This window comes from Homo sapiens, chromosome 21 (assembly GCF_000001405.40).
Source record: "Homo sapiens chromosome 21, GRCh38.p14 Primary Assembly".
NCBI lineage: Eukaryota > Metazoa > Chordata > Mammalia > Primates > Hominidae > Homo > Homo sapiens.
In genome coordinates, this window is record NC_000021.9 from 25585144 (window position 1) to 25610523 (window position 25380).

Genomic DNA, 25380 nt, shown 5'->3' on the forward strand with positions numbered 1-25380 from the left:
ATAAGAGCATGTGAGTGAAACTACCTCCGTTCAAATTCCCACTTTACCACTTTCAAGCTCTATGCTGTTTCCTCATTTAAAAAATAGAAACATCTTCTCAACAGGTCACTATGAGGATTATAGAAAAGGTTCCACACGTGATGGGCTTCGCACAAGACCCAGCACATGATAAATACTCAGTTAATATTACTTATCTACAAACATTTGCCATTTTTGCACAAGGATGTTTACTGTGCCACTGTTCGGCAAAAAACGCAAGCAAGTATAGTATGGTCCTATTTATGTTTTTTAGAAATTACATTTATATTTGTATGTATCTGCCTAGATCTGTAGGAAAAAATAGAGAAAACATGCTAAAGTGTTGCATCCATGGAGCAGGAAGGGAGTGACCTGTTTTTGTACAGTTTTTACTTAAGCAACATGAAGTGTTTCATACTTTAGAGAAAAGAAAAAGTAAAGATCACTATCAATCTTGGGGAGAAAGGGTTAATCTGTATAAGCACACACAAACATTATATTTAAAACATTTATTTTATTATACATATTTAAATTTTAGAAAGTTATTAGGTAGATGTACATTCCTCTGTTGCTTTACTTTGATCTTCAGTTACCTGTAAAAACATGAATAGCTTTACTTTCCTAATAAACACTTTCAGTTTTACCCTTCACCCACCATTTTAAATCATTCCACAGCCCTCTTATAATGACCCTTTATCTTTCCCCTTAAATAGTAGAATAGAAAGTTAGGTAAGAAGAAAGATTTAAAGGCCAAGTAACCAATATAAATTATCAGGTAAAGAACAATAATTCCATTCAAAAATATAATCTAAGGCATATTATACCTAGGCTTCTCAAGTTGGCCATTTTACTTTTCAGCCGTAAAACAAAATCATTAGTGTAAGAAAAAACACCTGAAGTGCTGTAACAAGCTATTTTAAATCAGTTTATTTTCTTTTGGAGTATAATTCCATTTAGAATAGAACATATTACAGATTTAGTCTAAATAGATATCTCTATGTCCCTATTTCTATTCTGTGTCACTCAGACTCATCAAACAGACATGGCTAAATCTGAATTCAACACCCCAAAACCTGTCCTACCTGCATCATCTATCTTGGTAAAGGGCTCCACCCAGATACCTAAGGACAGCATTCAAGAATTCACTCTCTTCTTCCTACCTGCATATTCCATCAACAGTCCTACTAATTCAGCCTAAGTTAACTCTCACAGTCATTCTCCCTATCGCGGCTGAACTTTAGGACCTCATTCTCTTCTATCCCCCTAACAGAACTCTTGGCTTAAGTCACAGCTATATCCCATGCTACCCCTAGAATGAGCTTTTAAACAAGAATAGCTGATCAACAGGTCACTTCCCTACTCAAAATTCTCCAGTTACTCTCTAGCATCTCAGTGGGGTGGAGGAGGAAAGTCAGGAATGCAAGTTCCACAACACGGGACACAAGCCCCTCATATTCTGTTTTTGGACTGACTCTTTACCTATCCTACATGTGACCTGTACATTCAAATTCATCTTACATTCATCATGTTCTCTATGTAGGCAAGTGACTTCCTCTGAGATAACCTCCAACCCATTTTCCAACAGATTATCTGCATGGTCCACTTTTATTCACCCTTTAAAATCAGCTTAAGAGACTCCAATTCCTGGAAGCCTTCCTTAAGCAACTCCCCAGCTTGGTCTGAGTCCTCTTCTTTATGCCAGAGCCCCACATGTACACCTGAACTGTCTGCTTATAAGTCTAATTATCCAATCAACATTACTTCCCTGAGGCAGCAAGTAAATTTTGTGCATTTTTTTGTACCTCCAGACCATAACAGTACCTGGCACACAATAAACAATCAGTAAGTCTGTGTTGCATCAATGAACCACGTTTAATCTAATCCCTTCAGAAAAGCAAAATGGACAGTAGAAAAAAGCAACTAAACCAGAATAAATGTTTGAAAAAATATGTATTGACTAACATCACTAGATATTCTAGGTAAGACACTGTCTCTGCCGTTTTTCTACATTTTTCATTCCTTTAAAGTGTTCAGTTACTACTGCTTCTTTAATTTTCCAAACTATTTCTTTAATATTCTTTAGCTTTTTAAATTTTTTTTAATTTTACTTAACTCCAAGTAAACATGCTGAACATTTTTTCTTTAGTTTCTTCATCTAAAATGATCACTGTGACCAACTAAAAAGAGAAAATTACTCCATCCATTCAAAGGTAATTTCTTCTCATGAGAAAAAAAATTATATAACCCTTACTCAAGAACATTATGGTGAAGTCCCTAAACAATAATTCCTATCTACATAGTCATTAATAAAGACTAGGTTTATATATCATTATGAAAAATTGTCAATAAATATTTCTTGGGTAACCCCTTCATGTGCTAATGTTGTGTTCAAAATTTGGGCTTACACAAATATAACAAATCCTGAAAGGCTTAACAGACAGAAAATAAATGTACTGGCAAAGAAAACAATCAAAAAATAGTATGTGGACATATACAATCAAGCACAAACTTATATGAATAATTATTTGTTAGAGATTACTCTGAGACTGTTCCATGGAGGAGGTACGACTCAGGCGAGGTAGTGAAGAATGACTGCGTAGTAAATAGAAGGAGAATGGGAAATGGAGTCTAGAAAGAAAAACTATCATGAAGAAATAAGCAAACTTGAAAATAAGTTTAATGTGTGATGCTTAATGTGCCTGCAAGCTTAACCAGTGTTTGTGGCATTGTGGGAAATTAGGATAAGGAGGAAGTCCTAATGAGGACAGATTACACAGGACAGCTATCAGATAACCTAAGTAAAAGAGGCACACTTAGCCTATGAAATAGGAAACAGGAATAGTTGTGGTCAAGAAATACAATCACCCGGGCCGGGCGCGGTGGCTCACGCCTGTAATCCCAGCACCTTGGGAGGCTGAGGGGGGTGGATCACGAGGTCAGGAGATCGAGACCATCCTGGCTAACACGGTAAAACCCTGTCTCTACTAAAAATACAAAAAAATTAGTTGGACGTAGTGGTGGGCACCCATAGTCCCAGCTACTTGGGAGGCTGAGGCACGAGAATCGCTTGAGCCCGGGAGGTGGAGGTTGCAGTGAGCTGAGATCGCGCCACTGCACTCCAGCCTGGGAGACAGAACAAGACTCTGTCTCAAAAAAAAAAAGAAAAGAAATACTATCATTCCTACTCATTAAGTCTAAATGCTAATGACAAAGAATAAACTACAAAAACACAAACATTCAAATCTGGTTTTTCAGGACATTAGGATATTTGCACATTTACTGTTAATGGCTAAAGGCGGCTTTAAAATACACCTGACAAATCTTAATCCTCTAAATATTCATTAAGTTTACAAAATAAATCCTAAGACCTAACTGATACCATTACAACTATTAAGAACTATTACTATTACATAGTAATATTCTTATTTCTCTTCAAGTTCTACAATATCATTTTCACGATATTAACAAATAAAATCAAAAGAGAACTGCCAAGTTACAACTTTACCCTTACCAACACACTAGTGAACAATCACAACACTGCTTTGACTATTGAGACAACTTACTTTTTTCCTTTCTCTTTGTTTCTTTCATTTTTCCCCCCTTTGGTTGTTATTGGTTAATTTTGATGAATTTCTTTATAGAAGAGTACTCAATAGCTGTCAAAAACACTTACCATTTTCCGAGATCTTTCCAATAGCTTATCCCATATTGTAAAATGTGCCTTGAAAAGAAAAGATTTGCGATGAACTAAATGAAGCAGTAATGTCAAAGTAAAAAGGACAGAGTCTTTATATAGCTTTTAGAACAAAATAAATAAAAAGCTAGGCAGTACTAATTTAGATAAGTGGTTATAAAAGTGGATCATAGTAGCAAAAAAAGGTGCTACATGGGGATAGCTGCTTTTTTGCTTTCTTCAATCGCATGAACCCGGGAGGCAGAGGTTGCAGTGAGCATTTAAGAAAAAAACGCTTAAGGATTGAACGTGCCCTTCTTTCACTTTTGCCCATCTTAATCATTTCCATCATAGAAAGCATTTCTTCTAATAGGAAGCAAAAATCTGCCCTACTTTCCCATAGACTGTGGTTCAATCCTTAAACAGCCAGTTTCAACATTCTAGAAGTCATTCTTCAAATCATAAGCAATCACAAGAAGACAGTCATTAAAAACCAACTGTGACATCTTCACACTGAAATGGCAGAAGCAGAGGATTCATCAAGTTACCCTAAAGAATAAGTAAAACCTAACAAAGACAATAGTAAATTTTTTTTTTTTTTGAAATGGAGTTTCACTCTGTCGCCCAGGCTGGAGTGCAGTGGTGCGATCTCAGCTCACTGCAACCTCCGCCTCCCAGGTTCAAGCAATTCTCCTGCCTCAGCCTCCCAAGACAATAGTAAAATTTAAACTCAATTTCCTTAGTCCATAACAACCTCCTGTAGCAGAGGATTATCAGAATGCATTAAAGAAAACTGTGCAAAGTGTATCATGACCACATCAATTTTATTAGGTCAACTGAAAGTGGTAACAAGACATATGGGCAGGCCAGTGACTACTCCACACTGAATGAGCTCATAAAATCTATAATAAAAGGTAAAATTAATAAATATCAACATACAAACCCTTCCAGGGAAAGAGCTGACTGGTATGTTTAAAGGGAAAACCATGCCTGACTCAGGCGGAATGAACTGCTGGTGCAGAGACCTTAAGCTGTGGCTGGAATATAGTGAGTGAGGAAAGGAGTGGTGTTAGATAAAGTCAGAGAAGCAGGCAGGGACCAGATAATGCAGGGCTTTGTGAGACAGGGTAAAGAGTTGGGATTTGTTCAAGGGAAGCCATTGGAAAGTTTGGGGCAGAGGAAGTACATAACAGATTGTGTATTAAAAAGATCACTTTGGCTACTAAGTGGAAAATGCACTGTAGATGGCAAGAGTGAAAGCAAGGAAGGTGAGTGAAAACAAAGAGGAACTTGGATAAGGGAAGTAGTAGTAGATGAGATGTTATAAGGTGCATAGATTCAGAATATGTTTCAGAGTTAAAAGTTGAAAGGACTTGCGGATGGATGGGCTGGGGCATGGCTATGAGGGGAAAAGAGAATCAAGGATTACCTTAAACAACTAAGGAAACCAGGGGTATCCAATCTTTTGGCTTCCCTGGGCCACACTGGAAGAAGAATTGTCCTGGACCACACATAAAATATACTAACGCTAATGACAGCTAATGAGCTAAAAAAAAAAAAAAATCGCAAGAAAACCTCATAATGTTTTAAGAAAGTTTACAAATTTGTGTCTCATTCAAAGCCGTCCTGGACTGCATGCAGCCCATGGGCTGTGAGTTGGACAAGCTTGAGTTAAAGGATGATCCCATTTTCTGAAATTGGGAAGGCTAGGAAAGGAAGCAGGTATGTGGAGAAAAGTCAAAGTCAAATGTATAGGAGAGGTGTGCTAAATTTTACAAAATGAGAGGGATGAAAGAAGATATAAATAAATAAGAAGATACAGTAAGTTCATAGACTGGAAACCTCAACATATTAAAGATGTCAATTCTCCCCAAACTGCTATACAGGTCTAATGGACTTATCAGAATCTCAGGAAGACTCTGTTGACATTGAAAATATTATCCTAACATTAAATGGAAACTCAAAGAGACTAGAAGAGTTAAAACAATTTTGATTAAAAAACAGTAACAAGGGAGGAATTACTCTACCTGATTTCACAGCCTATTTAGAGCTACAGTAATCAAGACTGGGTGGTACTGGTAGAGAGCTAAACATATGTGATCAATGGAACAGAATAGAGGACCCAAAAATAGGCCTACATAAATATGCTCAGCTAATTTTTAACAAAGATGCAAAAGTAACTCAGTGGAGGAAGAGTGGCCTTTTCAACGAATGGTGTTGGAGCAATCTGACATCTATAGCCCACAAAAAAAAAAAAAAAAAAAAAAAACCTAAACCTAAATCTCACACTCATAGAAAAATTAACTCAAAATGGACCACAGATTTAAACAAATGTAAAACTCTAAAACTTTTAGGAGGGAAAAAAAAAAGGAGAAAATCTTTGGGATGTAGGACTGGTCAAAGAGTTCTTAGAATTAACCCCAAAAACATAATCTATAAAAACAAAAATGTTATCAAATTTTAATAAACTAGTTTCATCAAAATTAAAAACTTCTCTGCAAAAGGCTGCTCAGAGAATGAGAAAACAAGCCACATATACAAACACAAGGTACAGACAGAAAAAGAGAGAAATCTGAAAACTACATATCTAACAAAAAACTAGTATCTACAACATATAAAGAACTCTCAAAACTCAACTGTTAAAAAGTAAAACAATCTAATTAGAACACTAGCAAAAGACATAAACAGACATTGCACCAATGAAGATATACAGATGGCAAATAAGTACATGAAAAAATGATCAATACCATTGGTCAACAGAGAAATTCAAATTAAAACTACAATGAGAAATCACTACAAACATATCAGAATGACTAAAACAAAAAAAAAAGTAGTGACAGCATCAAATGCTAGTGAGGATGTGGAAAAACTGATCACTCACACATTGCCAGTGGGAATGTAAAATGGTACCGTCACTCTGGAACACTTTGGTTGTTTCTTAAAAAACTAAACATACACTTATCATATGACCCAGCAATTGCACTCCTGGGTATTTATCCCAGAGAAATATTCACAAAAACCTGCACACAATGTCACAGCAGCTTTATTTGTAATAGCCAAAGACTGAAAATAACTCAGATGTCCTTTGATGGATGAATGGTTAAACAAACCATGATACATCCAGACCAAGTAATACTACTTAGCAATAAGAATGAATGAACTACTGATATACTCAATGTACTCGGATGAAATCTCCAGAGAATTATACTGAGTGAAAAGTGCCAATCCCAAAAAATTACATACCGTTTGATCCCATTCATACAATATTCTTGAAGTGACAAAATTATAGAAAAGGAAAACAGATAAGTAGTTGGCAGGGGTAAGCAGGCAGGGTAATGGGGGCAACAGAGGGAAGTGGCTGTAAATGCGTGTGTCTATAAAAGGCCAACATGAGGGATCCCCGTAGTGAAGGAATTGTCCTGTATCTTCATTGTATCGCTGTCCATACCCTGGTGGTGATACTGTATTTTAGTACTGCAAGATGCTACCATTGAGGAAACCAAGTAAAGGTACATGGGATCTCTCTATGTCTTATAACCCAATTATCTCAAAATCAAAAATTTAAATAAAAAGATTAGCAAGGGGTGGGAGCAATGTGGAAAATGTCAGGCTTCGGGTCATGATGGATCATTAAAATTAGAGGGAAGAGCATGCCAAATTTAAGCTTAAAAGGCATTCCAGGAAGTCTTACCAATACGCACTCTAATACCCCCTCTGTCAATGTACCCTCACCTATGCTAACTTGAAATTTTTAAATGCTATGTCAATTTAATTTTTTCAACTAATGTTTCTTTTGTAATTGTATATTTACACCCTGGGCAACTTTGTTTTTAATCATAAACCTGAGTTTATAAAATATTAGTGTCACATAACTTAAGAAAAATTAAAAGTTTATATTCTTCAAACTGGTATAAAATCAAGTCCGGAATTATATCTATACCCAAATTGGAAGACCTAGAACTTTAAGCTTTACTTACTCTTAAGTGAACAGGTAAAGACACGCCCTGGAATCTTCGTATGAGACTTGGCTGGGTGGGTTGAAGATTGTGAACTGCTGATACTTCATACTGGAAACAAATACTTGTTCTTGGAATAAGAGGGCCCTCACTCACATCAATGAAGTCACCTATTCTGATTGATTTAAAAATAAATAAACAAAACTGCAACATCAAATAATTTGTAAGAGCTTGAAAAAGAAATCTCTTCCTTCTCTTTGCTGCTAACATCCCTAATCAAGAACATTATATATGGTTCAATTCAGTTTCTAATGACCCCTGACATAATGATCTCAAGTAAAGAGGCTAAAACTTTGAAAATTAAATCAAATGAACCATTTTCTTAATTAGCATTGATATAGGTTTTAAGGTCTTTAAGAGTCACGCAACACATCATGCTATCAAGCTGATCCAATTGCCTAAAACCGATCATCTACAACCTTACAATAACCCATGTAACGAAGCTGAGAATTCAGTGTGTAGGACAGATTGTGTTCAGAAACAAAGGGCAGTTTCTAGAGGAAAAAAGTGAAGTCCAATTCATAAAAACAGGAGGCTGAGAAAATGGATCCAGGTCATGAAGTCATTTCTGCAGAATGCATTGTCTTGGGACTTGCTCCCCATGGGAGAACGTCATCATAAGCAGTGGACCTTTCTCATCCATGCTTGAGAAAGCACATTCTGGCTTAACTTACATGTATCTTAAGTAATTACTAGTTAGTCAGTATTCATATGAATTACGATGTTCAATTCATCACAATGACTATCTTGCCCAGTTTCAAAACACCTAAAAATTACATTCTTAAACAGTGGTTTTCAACTCAAAATTAAATAAAAATAGCAAACAATAAAATGAGGATTATAGAAACCACAAGTGTTCCTGAAGATAATTTAAAGCTTCCATTTACCACCATAACAAAACAATGAACGAAGCAACCAAAAATAAGGTAATAAGAACAAAATAAGACACAAATTCATCTTTTTTGGTCATATGCTTCATTCAGATAACAATAAAGCTAAGCCTTACTCTAACATAGCAGCCAGTTTTTAGACTTTTACTTACCTGTGTAGCTTGACTATTCTCTCAGGGTTCTGAGATGCCTTCTCTTCTATGAAATCTACTTTGTACCTGAAAAGCAGCAAAGAAAAAAACATTTTTTTAACTCAAAATATGTAAAAAGGTGTTTAAAGATACCTCCCTTTCTCTTCCTCTTCAGCCATACTTTCTGAGAGTAGGTTACACTTGGAACCTCCCTTTAATCTGGCCACAGCCCCATGACTCTGCCAAACTGTTCTCAACAAAGTCACAGACCTGCTTGGTGTCAACCCAGTGGACATTTTTTGGTCCTCATTTTCTTAATACCAATGCTCACCTCCACTTCTCAATGTGTTCTTTCTTTCCATTTTTATTTCTTTGTTCTTTTTTTTTTTTTTTTTTTTGAGGCAGGGTCTTACTCTTATCACCCACCCTGGAATGCAGTGGCATAATTATAGCTCACTGCAGTCTCAAACTTCGGGCTCAAGCGACCCTCCTGCCTCAGCCACCCAAGTAGCTGGGACTACAGGTGTGAGCCACCATGCCGGGCTAACTTTTTTTGGTAAAGATAGGGTCTTGCCATGTTGCTCAGGCTGGTCTCAAACTCCTGGTGTCAAGCAATCCTCCTGCCTCAGTCTCCCAAAATGCTGGGATTATAGCGATGAACCACCACATCCAGCCTCAAAGTGCTCTTTCCATGGGTATCAGTGGCATTCCTTACTGCTTGTTATTTTACATCTCTGGCCACTCCTGTCTTTCTCTACCCTTTGAGAATTCTATCCTACACCCTCTTTTCACGCTAAGCATCCTCCCTAGGTCAGCCCCTTGAGCTACAACTTATGTAGTTGTATGTCCTATATCTCTGCTTCTAATCTACCTACCTCTTCTGACCACCAAACTGTATATCCAAGACCCATTTGGACATCCTCTAGGATGTTCCACAAGCACCTTACCCTGAAATTTGCAAACTGCACAAATTACCACCTCTTTCCCCGCCCAAACTTGTTCTTCCTCCTGAATTTCCTGTCTTAGTACGATACCACCAACCACCCAGGTGTCCATGTGAAAAACCTGGGAGATTTCCTTGATTCCTTTCTCCTACCATATCTCCTTTATTCAATTCATTATCAAGTTGTCAATTTGACTGCCCAGTATCTCTCAAATCTACCCAATTCTGTCAGTATAGCTAAAGGCACAGATGAAACTGCACAGCCCAGGTTCAAACCATGACTTTACCATTTACTATTGAGAGCTTTGTCTGTTTACCTCAGGGTGCTAAACAAGTAATATGTGTAGGTGCACCACAGGTGTATGCACAATTATGTGGCAAAGTTAGGGAACACTGGTTTATGCAAAAACACCCACTGACTGCTACAGTCCCCCAGGCACTAATAAGGGTGCCAATTCCCTTGAATACTTATCCCTCCTGACCCACCTCCAAGAGATGCTCCTGTCCCCTGAGAGTCAAAGCCACAAAAAGGTCCCACCCTTACTCCTGCAGCAGAAGGACTCAATCACTGACCCACCTTCAATGAACCAACTCTTTTGTCCTATCAAGCTTCCTCCAGAATTATCCCCTTCCTCCTACCACACACTCAACTAAGTTACAAAAGTCCCAGAAGCCGCTACCAGTCCTTGACAGTTAGAGGAATGGGAAATCTCAATGTGTACTGAATGGAAGTCAAAAGTACACTGTCCAGTAAAGTACCATGGTGCACTTAAATGTGATTAGTACTAGTTAAAATGTGCCTTAAGTGTAAAACACATACCAGGTTCTGAAGATTTAGTGAAAAAGAATATAAAATAACATCAATATTTTAATATTGATTACACTGAGTAACATTTTAGATGTATCATTTAAATAAAATCATTAAAATTAACTTCAACTTTTGTTTTGACTTTTTTTCAATGCAACTACAGAAAATTTCAAATTATACAGATGTCTCATATTATATTTCTTTTGGGCAGCATGTGCCTAGACTTTTGTCACAGAGAGTGACTTCACGTGTTCAGATAGTCCAAAGAATTTTCTTGTCGAATCAATGCTATAAATGGTGGTTTGGTTCTACAATACTATCTGTACTCTAGTTAAAACAGTACATTACAACTGGTTTCTAAATCCACTGGTTCCAGGACACGCTAAAAATGTTTCAAGAAAAAGTGTTTCATGGGCAAATATATTTGGGAAATTTTCAATGTCCACTTTGGGAGACCGTTGAGTGCGATGAGTAAAAATTTTTTTTTTTTTTTTGAGACGGAGTCTCGCTCTTTCGCCCAGGCCGGACTGCAGTGGCGCCACCTAGGCTCACTGCAAGCTCCGCCTCCCGGGTTCACGCCATTCTCCTGCCTCAGCCTCCTGAGTAGCTGGGACTACAGGCGCCCGCCACCACGCCCAGCTAATTTTTTGTATTTTTAAAAGAGACGGGGTTTCACCGTGTTAGCCAAGATGGTCTCGATCTCCTGACCTCGTGATCTGCCCGCCTCGGCCTCCCAAAGTGCTGGGATTACAGGCGTGAGCCACCGCGCCCAGCCGAGTAAAATTTTTTAAGCCACTGTTCTTCAAACTCAGCTTAACACAGTACATGGTTTCACATGTCAATTAACATCCTATAGAAGAATACTATAAGACAGACTGCTTTGAGAAATGCCAAGCTATAAAGTATGTGTCAAAAACACACTCATAACCCAATATATTTACGATAACCTATCCCTATGAGAATTTGTAATTCAACTTCTATATACCTAAAGAAATTCTAATCAGTAAACTTTCACAATTCTTAGGTGCATATTTTGGCTTCAGACTCTGTTATTTTTTTTTTTTTACAGCACAGGTTTCTCTTTCTAGTTAGTTCTAATATTGTATTAGATTAATGTTAAAATTTAGCTCATGTTCTTACAACTGGTAGTAGAAGGTGAACTGAAAGTTTTCTGAGAACTGAGAAGCCAGGCAGGAATTAAAATGTTAAAGAAAATCCATCAAATGAATAATTCACATGCAGAAGATTAAGACCTGGCTGTGTAAACATTTTACTTCAGCTGTCAGCCCCCTCCCAAACTGCTTGCATTTTCAATCTTATCAGTGTCATTTTAAGTGTGGAGGGGTAGGAGAGAAACACTGCCAAATACACACAATTATATAGTCGCTTAACGTACATTATCACTTCACACTAGAAAGAAAAAAGGGAAACATGCCACTATGTTGATATAATGAGAAAGGCTGGTCCAAGAACAGAGAAGTAAAACAAAGTGAGAAAATTATCAAGGGACATGGGTAACATTTTCCTCAGCGAAATAAATGAGATCACAGAGGTCTCAGACTGGAAAATAATACACTGTCACATGTATATCAAATATAAAAATTTTTAAGACCTGAATTTTCTTTATTACATATAATACTGGGAGAGTTAGCCTTGATTTAAAGAAAGCCAACACTTACTTGCTGTGTTGAAATATTTCCAATGCCACTTTTGCTTCAACTTCCAGAGTTTCAAATGGAAGATCTTTATAAATTAAAGCATGAGCATCTTTTGTGAAGGAACGTAAGTTCTCCTTAAAAATGAAAGTAATAACCTTTAGTAACAATTCACTGAAAAGCATTTCTCCATAAGCCAGTTGAAACAAAACTCTATGCTTAGTACTGCAAATCCAACTAAAATAAAAGATAAAATCAAATTTGTTAGAACAGAAAGTTACTAATTTGCAACAACTGAAGTTTTGGACCATAAACTATAAAACTTCTTATTTACCTGTAATTAAGGTGTCAGCCTTCATTAATACTAATTATTAAAGAGAAAACTATACAGAAATTTTATCCAAATTATATAATTTCATCCAAATTATACAACCTTAAAATGTTTATTAAAACTATGATGCAGCAAGTAAAAATGCCAATAAATAAATAGCAAGACATAAAAATGTGTTTACAGTATGAATAAATCTAAGTTTATTAAATATATGGGGAAAAATTATTGTTTTCTTAATTAAGAAAGTTTCACTAGAAATGTAGCATCATCACCCACCCTGTGCAAAGTATAGCATGTCCAATATTAAAAGTTTCTGCTTAATAAAAATGTCAATTTTACACAATTAAAATGATGAAGAATACACATTAACAATGTGTTTAAGATTTTTAATAAAAATTCTAATTGAGCTTTCATACTGTAAATCATTACTAATAACACAGAAAAAACCAAGCACTATTACACAAGTAATTTTTATAATGAAATTATTTCCATAAAAATCCTATTAGACTTTTTTGCATGAAATGACTTCTCTATAAAGAATAATTTACTGTATAAAAAAATCAACATTCATGGTTTAATACAACTATTCCTTCAATGTAACTCTACCCTACTTTCTTTAAGCTGTCTACTCAACCCAACTCCATGGAGTCTGCAATCAGCTCACATATTTCTTTTGTAAGGTTTTATCTTTTAAAAAAGAAAAATGCAAAAGCCAAGCACAGTGGCATACACCTGCAGTCCCAGCTACTAGAAAGGCTGAGGCAGGAAGATTGCTTGGGCCCAGAAGTTCAAGGCCAGCCTAGGCAACATAGTGAGACCCCCATCTCTTTAAAAAAAAAAAAAAAGAGAGAGAAAGAAAGAAAAAAGCAGTTATGTTTCACAGATAATGAAAATTAAATCTTGACCTCAGTTTTTACCTAACTTGCCCCAGTAAAAAAAATCTTAAATTTGGAGACATACTTGAAAAGGAAGAAGCTACACTGACAGGAGCCCAGAGGTCATGAAGAAACAGTTCCAATCCCTTCCCTCCCCTCTTTCCATCCTCTTCTCTCTCTCTTCCCTCTCCCTTTTTCTCATTCTTTCTTGATTCCCTCTTCTCTCCCTCTCAATATTATGTAATATGCGCAGGATTATACAAAAAGTAATTTCCAAGGCCAAATTTAAAGCTGGATCTGCCCTTACTCCAAAATCCTTGCTTTTAAGAACCACTACAGTATTTTACTAAATCTAAGATGTATTACTAAGGGGAAAAAAAAAAAAAAAAAACACTACAAATTCTAATTGCAAGATACCATCTAATATAAGGCTTATATATTTTCAGAGATATTAAATATAAAAAGAATGTACACAGTGGAAATGATAAAATGATGTGCTACACTGCTTCCCCTTTTCAGATCTCCAGACTCCCAATACATAGGACATATAGTTTTGTTTAATTAAGAATTAGGTATTTGCCTATTCTCCCCAATCAGAACTACATCTCCAGGCTTGATCTTTGATAACCATCAGCACCCCTTACCTACTGAGCACCTGATCTAGACTGTCCTTGTTAGGCTCTGTTGCTACCCAAGTCCCAGACCAACAAGGACCATCCTCATTACAAAGGCAAACCATTCACAAAGAGTTTAGTTTGTTAATATTTCATTTGTTGATGCTTGAGTATTAGCTTTGTCAAAGTCTGATTCTTTAATTCACCCAGCTCTCAATGTGACCCTTGTATATACAGGGACCTCACTGTATGCAACAAGTTAAAATGGTTTAGGGGAGTGGTTTTCAAATTGTGCTCCAGCGACCCAAACAAGTATGGCTCCAGGCCCCCTACTACCACATGGGTCAAGATAGTTAAGTTTTTATATTTTATATCCTGGGCCTCTTGAAAACCACTACCTTAAAACCACTTAGAAGGAACATCAAGAAAAGGTCAAGCAGAACATAAAGTTTCAAGACAACTGACCATGTTGATGTAAATACTCTCATTCACATCCCTCTGTCTTAAATAGGCTGAAAAAGCAACAACACCAATAGATAGATAGATAGACAGACAGACAGATACATAGATACATAGATAGATACATAGATTCTTTTAAATGTTCTCAACATGCAGTACCATTCAACAATACTAACATAGGAATCATTCTAACAAAGAAAGGCAGACACTCTAAAATTAATACTCCAGAAGAATACACTTACTTTTGTTGGCATCCACTCATCAAGTTTGCTATCCAAAACTACGTCATAACAGAAGGCACCAGAAATTACTGTAAATCCAACCAAAATAAAAAGCAAAGTCAAATCTGCCCCAACAGAAAGTTACTAATTTGCAACAACTGAATATTTAGACCATAAAAAGGATTAGCACTCTCTCCCAACTCTACAAATTATAAAATGGTTGCCATTCTTCCAGCTGCTTGCCAGAGCTCTATCAAATTTCCCTTAGCCAAAAGATTGTCAACCCCAAATCACAAATATTTTTTAAACATTCAAGTTTTCTTCACAAATGCTATTGCCATACAGATTTCATACAGTTACCAGATGTAAAAATTCTGGGAAGCCAAGGCAGGTGGATCACCTGAGGTCAAGAATTTGAGACCAGCCTGGCCAACATAGTAAAACCCCATCTCTACCAGAAATATAAAAATTAGCCGGGCTTGGTGGCAGGCAACTGTAATCCCAGCTACTTGGGAGTCTGAGGCAGAAGAATCGCTTGAATCTGGGAGGTGCAGGTTGCAGTGAGCCAAGATCGCGCCACTGCACTCCAGCCTTGGCAACACAGCGAGACTCCGTCTTAAAAAAAAAAAAAAAAAAAAAATTCCAAAAGAACAAGATATTTAGTAAGTAGATAAATAACTTAATGGATACAAAATGTTACATTTCTTTTATATCCCCTAAATATCTTCTTTTTGGGGTTTTGTTCTTAGAATCATTTCTTGAGCTTCTTTCAAATATTTTAGGTATATCTACTTCTTTAAAAAAAAAAAAAAATTTGACACGTGATCCTACCATACTTACTATTCCAAAATCCTAGTTTTAGCAAAATTACAGTCCACACCCTGTCATTTCACCAAAGTGCTGTCACTTTCCAAAGTAATGGTCCTGTCTGGTGAAATATTACCACCTAAGCACAGCTCTTTACAGTAGTCTACTTATACTCAGATTTCCTCCTCCTCTATACATCCAATTTGGAAATATATGCTTAAAGTAAAAAATAAACGCTAAGGGCCGGGCACGGTGGCTCACGCCTGTAATCCCAGCACTTTGGGAGGCCGAGGCAGGCAGATCACGAGGTCAGGAGATCGAGACCATCCTAGCTAACATGGTGAAACCCCGTCTCTACTAAAAATACAGAAAAATTAGCCAGGCGTGGTGGCGCGCGCCTGTAGACCCAGCTAATCGGGAGGGTGAGGCGGGAGAATGGTGTGAACCCCAGAGGCGGAGCTTGCAGTGAGCCAAGATCACGCCACTGCACTCCAGCCTGGGTGACAGAGTGAAACTCCGTCTCAAATAAATAAATAAACGCTGAGATAGTGGAATTCCATGAAATTCATATTCAAGACAAACACTTTCCAGTAATTCTATGATGTTAATTATTAACCTGCAAAGACTACTTCATGTTTCATCATAGTAAGAAAGATTTTGTTACCCATGATAAATGACACATATGTATAATGGTAATTTATATTAGTACTAAACTCTATACGTCATCAAAAATAGGTACCAAAATATTTAAGGATCACAAAAAGACATATATGTATACACTACCAGGAACTTCTGGAGCTCTGACCAAATTGACCATATATTCATCTTTGAATGCCCTCTCTATCACACAGCCCATCATCATAGCACAGGAACGCCAATATGCCTAGAAAAAAAATATACATATATAAAATATATATAAACACACTGAGATTCACTAAAGTTTTGACAATATTAAATTTTAAGTGAACTTCTGACTTAGAAAATATTTCTCATATATCTCTGTTCACACAATGTAGCAACAGTTGCCATCAGGCCATGACGTTACCTCGACCAAGCAAAAATCAAAAAAGAATGAAGCATGAACCTCAGGTTCTTAGCAATGTTTCTGTGCAAGATTTCAAACACCATAATGGTTATCAACCCCGACAGATAGTTTTATTACCTGAAAGTATTTATTTTTAACCCACGATAAAGTTAACTTGTTAACAAACTTGTGCTAAAGTAAAATAAATATATTAATTATGTAACTTTGTATCATTTATAAATATGGAGAAAAACTCAACTTTTATGAATTATTAGTGACTCTTATCCTCTACCTAACACCCTAACACATCGTTCAGATTACTCATATTTATAGCAGAGCAGCAGGAACTGGGCTTTCATCTTACCAGCACATTTTGATTCATGGACATGCCTGATATGGTATCAGAGCAATGACCTGATCAGTCACAAGGAGAAACCTGCACCATACCTGTCCATTGTGTTCCCCTCCTGCTGACACTACTCTGTGCACTTTTCAGAAGCTCTTCTTAACATCTGAGGACTACAAAAGTGGGATCACTTCTCCATTATAAATTCAATGCAACCATATTACACTAAAAATAAGTACAGACCCAGGCCTTGAAGGCAAGTAGCAACATGTACTTCTTCATCTATCCTACCTAAATGTCTCTAAATGTCTGTTGAACTCCAGTCAGAATGCCTAGGTTCAAATCTGGGCTCCACTATTTCCTAAATCAGTAACCTTGGTCAAGCTGCTGAACTTCTCTTTGTCTCAGTTTATTCATCGGGAAAATGGGGAGAATAGCACGAACTCACAGAGTTTGTATGAAGGTTAAATGAGTTAATATCTGTAAATCACCTAGAACAGTGCCTGATACATAATACATACATACTCATTGTTGGCTATTACTGTCATTTCTATCATTTTCTTGTTCAACTATTTCAACAAATATTTATTAAACACCTACTGTATGTATATCAAGAACTAGGTCCAATAAGGGAAATGGTCCCTATCTTCACATTCGACCGTTTATGTTACAAGACAAAATTAAAATATCATATCTAGAGACTAGCCAAGTTGTGTGAGACCTTAGAGAAAAGAGGATTAATTTTGACAAGGAGAAACTTAGAAGTTTCCACAAAGCAGATGGCCTTTTAATTGAATTGTAAAAGATAAATAGGATTTTAATAGAGAGAAAAGAAAATGCTCACATTTGGCGAAAGCATCAACAAAAGCAAGGTGGATAACACAGCATAAACCATTAGTGACTGATATGGTTTAGCCCTGTGTTCCCACCCAAATCTCATCTCGAACGAAGGAGAGACCTGGTAGAAGGTGACTGGATAATGGGGCGGTTTCCCCCAGGCTGTTCTCTTGATAGTGAGTTGAGTTCTCATGAGATCTAATGGTTTAAAGGTGTTTAGCAGTTCTTCCCTCACTCTCTCTCTTGCCTCCATGTAAGATGTTCCTGCTTCCCCTTCTACTATGATTGTTAAGTTTCCTGAAGCCTCTCCAGCCATGAAAAATTGAGTCAATTAAACTTCTTTTCTTTATAAATTACCCAGTCTCAGGGAGTTCTTTATAGCCGTGTGAAAACGGACTAATACAGTGACCAAGTACTCTAAAGAGGCCAGAGCAAGGAGGAAGTGGAAAGAAGCAGGGGGGAGGCCAAGCTGGAAAGGCAGGCTGGGAACAGATTATACAGGGCCTGGAAAGCTATGTGAATGTTAACAGGTAGGCAAGTTCTTTAGGTTTAAGTGACATGATCCTTGGACAAGTCACTTAATAAAGCTGTTATATGCCTGTAAAAGAACAACTTTTAAGTAACGAAAAAAAATAGTGGGGGGATGGGTAAGCAGAAAGAGTTAAAAAGTTATTGAAATCATCTAGATAAGATGGTCAAAGGCTGAATTCAAGCAGTAGCAGTGGAAATGGAATCACCCACAATATAGAGAGTGATTAATGAATGTAAGTTGAACAAAGATATGAATATAAAAGACATAGCATACAAAAATACCCACAAATGGATGCCACTGATAAGTTCTGAACTACAAAAGTGCCTAATCTAACAGGTAAAACATTGACTAAAGAGTACGATACAACATTTGAACTTGGCCATATTTTTACATTACACCCCATAGAAAACAGGTCTTAATAAAAAGGTGAAGATACTGGGGAAATAGAAAAAGAATGTAGAGATAGAAATACCTTATTCACTTCTCCTGGATCACAATCTTTGAAAGTAAGAAATTTAATTTCACAGGACTTTGTTAAAGGCTTATACATGTCCCAAGGCTGTCCATCCACCAGAGCCAGAATGGACTTCCTGCAATACCACTCGCTTAAATCTAGAAATTTAAAACAGACTGATTATCTAACAAAATCCAGAGTGAAAAGTTACATGTTTAAGTGCTATATTTAGAAATATAACAATGGAAAGGCAAGATTCTGCAGACTGTCCTTTTTAGAGAAAAAAAGTATATTACGTCTATAATCAATTAAAAAAAAAAACCCTACAAAAATTAGCCAGGTGTGGGGGCACGTGCCTGTAATCCCAGTTATTTGGGAGGCTGAAACAGGAGAATCGCTTGAACCAAGATGGCAGAGGTTGCAGTGAGCCGAGATCACGCCACTGCATTCGAGCCTGGGTGACAGAGCGAGACTCTGTCTCAAAAATAAATAAATAAATAAAATAATACCCAATATACTCAAGGTCTTATTGGTTATTAACAAAATTACCCAAACCATTTACAAAATTTGTTCAGGCTACATCTAGTTTGAAATTAATTTGCTAATTATTAATGAAAAAAGTTACACTTGAATATTCAGAGAGCAGCATCATGGATACATTTGGATAGATACACACACAACTCAAAGTAAAAGGGAAATATATTAATACACACCTACAAAAATCAGTTCTAGATTGGTTTTGGGTCTTGCTCCCAAACCATCTCTTATTTCCATGACATAGATGCTTCAAGTTAAATACAGTAGTTACCATTTTTTAATAATTAATATTAACTCCCGGATAAGCCAATCAGCTCTGGTCTGTTTCATCATCCCAGAATGCAATGCCAACTGTTAATGCCAATTAGATGTTCTGCAATTACACAGCTACTCACAAAAGTAGTCAAACTACAAGGTCTAAATTATCAACCACTACATAAACCCCGTAAAGTCAGGGATCATGTCTACTTTTGCTCACTCATCAGTATATCCAGAGTCTAGCACCAGGCCTGGAATATAGCAGGTGTTCAATAACAGTTTACTGAATGACTGCAAGCATGAATGACAAGAACGTCTCATTGCAGGGGTCATGCTGAGGATGCTTCAGAAGCTTCATCACTACATGTGATGTGTATAAAGCTCCTTAAGGGCCTGAGTTTTGTCTTATCCTCCTCTGTAGTCCTAATGCCTATCATATCGCAGAGGTTCCAGAAATACTTGAAAACCAAATGAGTAAATATTTATAAGTACTAATTCAAATGCCAGAGTGAAGGAAGATTAAGAGTGAGTGTAGACTCTCTAGGCCAGTTTAAGCTGATAACTAAAGTTGTTAATTACTTAAATGGAATGGTTACTGAGTTTTCCAAAAGTTTAAGCAATGCAGCTAGTCATGCCTGTATCTGTTTTGGGGCTTCTTTAATTTAAATATTACCAGTTCTATCAAACGTACTATCAAAACATTTTGATCAAAAATAAAATATAGAAGTTCTTATTCCCTTCATTTCCACACAAAATCACACATGGGGCACAGTTGTCTCCTTTAAGATATACATAAATACTTTTACCCCAATCACATTCACCCCATGCACATTCCCACTCACACATTTACCACATGTACATCTAAATGTCAACAAAAATACAACACAGAGAGAGCCAAGTGGAAAGCAGATGATAGATTAAGTTAGGCTATACAATGAAGAGGGGAGAAAGAAAAAGGCGGCAAAAAAAAGCTGATCATCTGAGGCCATGGCAATCCCTTTACACCAAAATCCTTTCTTGAGACCTGCACGGTGACTCCTCCCACCACATCACAGCCCTAGCTAAAAGGAGCAAGCAAATTCCAGCTACTTGGGAGGCTGAAGCAGGAGGAGAGCTTGAGGTCAGAAGTTCAAGACCAGCCTGGGCACCACAGCCACCCTCTCTCTCAAAAATAAAAATAAATTAGCCAGGTGTGATGGTGGGCACCTGTAGTCCCAGCTACTTCGTAGGCTGAGGCTAGGAGTTTCAGTGAGCTATGATAGTACCACTACACTCCAGCCTGGGAGCAGGGCCAGACCCTCATCTCTAAAATTAAATTAAATTAAAGGAGAAAGCACACTAGTAACAATGCACTCAGGTCTGGTCACCTTCTGCCAGAAAATTATCTAGTACCATAAACAAAGCCAGATTCAAACAAGCGCCAGGCAGGACAATCTGTGCACTACAGTGCCAACCTTGCAATACTCAGAGTACCCTCCAGAACTACAGGGACAGTGAATAGACAATAAGGTGCCAGATAAAGAACCTCTGGGAAGTCCAGGGACTTCTGCGCCCACCACATCTGGCTAATTTATTTCTATTTTTATTTTTTGAGAGACAGGGTGGCTATGGTGCCCAGGCTGGTCTTGAACTTCTGGCCTCAAGCTATCCTCCTGCTTCAGCCTCCCAAGTAGCTGGGATTTGCTTGCTCTTTTTAGCTAGGTCTGTGATGTGGTGGGAGCAGTCACCATGCAGGTCTCAAGAAAGGATTTTGGTATAAAGGGATTGCCATGGCCACAGATGACCAGAAGTAATTACAGCATCCTGTCTCCTGCACCAGTGCTTCCACACAGCTTAAGTAAAAGGGTCAAAACTGTAACCTGATTCTGCTACTTACGCATGGCACAACTGTAGGGAGTTGAAATGTTTTTATTCATCACGAAGACAGTACCGGGGTCAGTTTTCCCAACATGCTTAACTTCTATCTTCTCAGTTCGGGGAGTTAATGATAACTGCCTGGCTTTCTCTTTATTAAAGAGATCATTCCGCATTTCTGTCAATTCTGTCGGTGACAGCTGAGAAGCTGACGATGTTGCTATAAATCCTGTGGAGAAGTTACAATAAATATGAAGACTGAAAAAATGATTAACGTACTGCCAAAAGTGCGCTCAGAGGTAAAATTAAACCAATTTGTAATATTAACAAACACCAGCGGAAGAAACAGAGCTGGCCCAGATACGTGCCTCTACTTTTAAATTTGGCTCTTTCACATCAGATCGCTATTTCCCACCAATTTCCTGTGTCGTGTTTCCAATCAGTGCTTTACAATAAGGGGCAAAAAGTAACCAGGAAACGGAGTCAAAACTGGACTAGAGTCATTGGGAAGGTGAACAAAGTGGTCGGTTTGACAGGGTCTGAAGAAAAACAAGAAAATTTCAGGAAACCAAAGGTCCCACACCGAAACTATCAATATCCAGAATGAGAAATGCTGAGTTTATATCCCAAAGGCCAAATCAGGGAACCTGCCAAGGCAAGTACGAGTATTCCTTGGGAAGACATGGACAGATGTGCACGGAACGTGCGCTGCTTCCCAGAGGCGGGCCCAAGCTCCTCCCGCGGCCTGGCTCCGACCCCTGGCCCCGACCCCTGCCCTTGCCCCTGCCCTCCGCCAGACCCTCGTTCCCATAAATTAGTCCTCCCAAGCTGTGCAAGAGCGACCGCCGCGGAGGGACTAAGAAACCCTCCTCCTTCCTCTGCCCCGCGGGACCTCCCCGGCCCCGCCTCAGACCCAATCTAGACAGACACCACTATCTAGGCCTCGCTCCCTGTCCCTACGGCCTCTGAAACTCACTCCATTTGATCCCGCCACCGGGTGCGACCAGCCAGAGCCGCAGCGCCCGGGAACCCATGGCCAGCGCCTCCATAGCAGCGGTGAGAACCGTCGCGCGCAAGTCCTTCTCCGCCCTCCTCCCCCGGAAACCGAACGCGCACTCGGAGTTCCGCAGGACAGGTCTGTTCCGGACCCAGCACTCAGACTGCTCGCCTCCACCGGGGGGCGTCAGGCCTCGCTGGGGATTCAGTGGCTGAGACCCCGAGACTCGGAGCCGGGGCGCGTTACCTGTGCTCGATACCTGGGCGCGGTCACCTACCCAGAGGTGCAGGGCCCCCAGGGCGGTCGGCCTGCCGCCCACCACGTAGGCTCTGCAGGGAAACAGAGTTCCACAGGCGTCGTTGCCCTCCGCCTTCAGCCCTCCGCGGGTTCGATCCCGGCCACCCAGGTGAAGCGCTTGCTTCCCTAAAAGAATATATGGTTTTCTTGGCGGGGGCGGGGGTGGGGGGGAATGGGGAAGGCGTCTTCTATTTTGTCAGCGATGACATCCTCTAGCGCGTGGCTTAACTTTCAATTGTGCCGGGTAGGTTCTTAGTTCGGCTGGAGTGGGTCTGCACCCCGGTTCTCCCCTTAGCTGTGGTAATAGAGGCCTCGGAACACGTCCCCTTGACTTTGGAGAGGACGTTGTAATTCCTAAGAGCTCTTTACAAATTTTCTAGTTTAGTTTATATAGTATAGGATGTATAGGAGAAGGCATCCCGGGGCAGAATTTTTGTCTCTAGTTCACTGATGTATCCCAAGCGCCCAGAACAGAGCACAGCGCAGTCAGCGCTCAACAGATGTTTCTTGAATGAATGAATGAATGAATGCCCTTGCAGGCAAACTTCAGCTCATTGTCTAATTTTTCTGTCCTACCAGGACGTGAGTGTTATTTGAAGTAAGCACTCTGTAGGTACAGGATGGAAATATTTTCATTTACAGTAGTTTAATTCTGTGGCTTTACTTAAGGGTGTCGAATTCAGCCTTTCCCCCACTCTGTCCTTTGCCTTGCAATTGGAATGCGCCGCCACCAGGTGGAAGTGCCGCCTAAGGTACAAATATGACCCTGCGCCACGATAGATCGACCGTCTCCTTGGCCCAAATGTTACACTCACAACCACTGCGCCAGGAAAGTGTAAGTATCTTCACTTTTTAAAATGGGAAATGTAAGTGACGGAGCTTGGATTTACATCCAGTCTACATTTTACCAGGCTACATTTCATTTAAGATCCTAATTCAAACCACGAAATGTACATATATACATATAGTGTTGGAGGGCGGGTGTATCTTTTGCTTCCTCAAATTTGCATACAGTTCCCATGAAAGCTGTCTGTTTCATCGGCCTTTTAGAGCCTGTACCCATTTAACCTTACCTAGAAACACTCTAGTGCCCTTAGAACATCTTAGAGCCACATTTAAGCAAAGCCTCTGAACATAAACTTAAGCAAGTTTGATCACAAACCCATTGGAGGCAGGTAATTGGAGTTCACCGGTATGAGAAATTAACCTAGTTGAAAGGTTGTCACTAGTGATAATGGCCAAAAAATACTATGTGCCAATCATAGGGCTTGGTTTATTAATTTTCACAACCTACCTGAGCAATTGGCATAATAATCTTCATATTCCAGGAAAAGAAATTCAGGTTTTAAGAGCTTGAGAGACATACCCGAGGTAAATCTTTGGCCAAGAATTCCCCCCAAATATTTTCTTACTCTGAATCTTCTTTATCTTGCCTTCTTTATCAACCAGCTCCCCAAATCTTAGTCTCACTCTGTCAATGTCTCTGCCAAATAAAAAGTATCAAGTCTGTAACAGTAAATATCTAAGATAAGCCTGGATCATTACTGTGCCAGAAAGCCTACAACTAACTATAAAATACAGACAAACAGAAACATGTTAAAAAGGACGGCGGACCAAGCTCGAAGGTCCTCCCGCTGTCCAAATTTGGGAGAGTTTGCATAACAAAAAGAATAATGCTGAAATATTATGACATGTATATTAAAAATTCATGAATCCGTAATGACACTCAAGAATAAATCAGTGTAGAAAGAGTGAAGAGAGTTTTCTGTACAAAAGAATGCCAGATAATAAAAGTCATAGGAATAATAGAATAGGGAAAATCACCATTCTGCATCTACCAATGTAACCATTGGTACAGGAAGGGATCGTCAATAGATGCTAAAATCAGTAGAGAAAGTTTGTTGAGGATCAGGGATATAGTCACATAGTCTCTAAGTATCACCTCACATATTACTGACAAAATACAAATGGATAAGTGAAACTTTTCAATGGAGAAATCTGGTGGATATCATCATCAAGTGGTCAAACTTATCATCACCCAAAATGAGACAATCTGACATTATTTGTGCTTCTTGGTTGTGATATAAACAATATTATCTATGGAGTATTCCTAACATAAATATTTAACCTGAATCTAAAGAATTATGAGGAAATCAGGTATATCCAAAAAGTGATATATTCTACAAAACAACTGACCTAAACTCTTCAAAAATGTAAGTTTTATGAAAGATGAACCCCCAAATAGTTAATAAACTGTCCTAAATTAAAGGAGACTAAAGAAATATACAGTTATTATCAATGCATGATCCTCGCTAGGTTTTGGATCAGGAAAAAAAATTTACAAAGAATGTTATTGTGACAGAGAAACTTGAACTGTATACTAAATAATATTATATCAATGTTATACTTCTTGGATACAATAATAGTGTCATGGTCATATAGGAAATAATCCTTATTCTTAAGATATATATATTAAAATATTTAGGAACCAAATATCACTATGCCTATAACAAACTCCCAAATGTTTCAGCAAAAACAGGGAGCTCTAATATTGAGGGAGGGAACAAGACAAATTTAGCAAATGTGGCAAAATGTTAACAATTAGAGAATCTAAGTGAGGATTTTAGTTGAACTACTCCTTCAACTTTATTCTGAAATGTTTCAACATCAAAACTTTGGAGAATAACTTCAGTGGTTTTCAACCATGAAAGTTTATTTTGCTTATGTTGGCTGTCAGTGATGGCAGCTACCAGCCAATTGCGGCTCTGCAACTTTATTCCAGAATCCAGGCCATAGAAGCAGC

The 25380-nt window shown here is 38.3% G+C and overlaps 1 protein-coding gene across 4 annotated transcripts, besides 2 other annotated features; it reads right to left on the reverse strand.

Moving 5' to 3' along the window:
- Positions 1-512: 512 nt before the first annotated feature.
- MRPL39 (mitochondrial ribosomal protein L39) lies at positions 513-22716 on the reverse strand. Of its 4 annotated transcripts, NM_080794.4 has the most exons (11): positions 22260-22338; positions 21306-21512; positions 18653-18792; positions 16225-16324; positions 14656-14723; positions 12159-12271; positions 8750-8815; positions 7669-7822; positions 3692-3739; positions 2558-2646; positions 513-611 (listed from the first exon to the last, which is right to left on the reverse strand). In NM_080794.4, the coding sequence occupies exons 1-11, from the start codon at positions 22330-22332 to the stop codon at positions 608-610; spliced, it is 1062 nt and encodes a 353-aa protein (NP_542984.3). In that variant the 5' UTR covers positions 22333-22338; the 3' UTR covers positions 513-607. The 4 variants fall into 4 exon arrangements, with proteins under 4 accessions (NP_542984.3, XP_011527953.1, NP_059142.3 ...); XM_011529651.3 differs by lacking the exons at positions 2558-2646; positions 22260-22338 and adding an exon at positions 22558-22716; NM_017446.4 differs by lacking the exon at positions 2558-2646.
- Positions 22283-22402: an enhancer, noted in NCBI's record as "active region_18314". NCBI's record gives its function as "activates an Ori minimal core promoter by ATAC-STARR-seq in GM12878 lymphoblastoid cells {active_cell/tissue: GM12878}" and the evidence as "EXISTENCE:reporter gene assay evidence [ECO:0000049][PMID:35858748]".
- Positions 23383-23442: a silencer, noted in NCBI's record as "silent region_13230". NCBI's record gives its function as "represses an Ori minimal core promoter by ATAC-STARR-seq in GM12878 lymphoblastoid cells {active_cell/tissue: GM12878}" and the evidence as "EXISTENCE:reporter gene assay evidence [ECO:0000049][PMID:35858748]".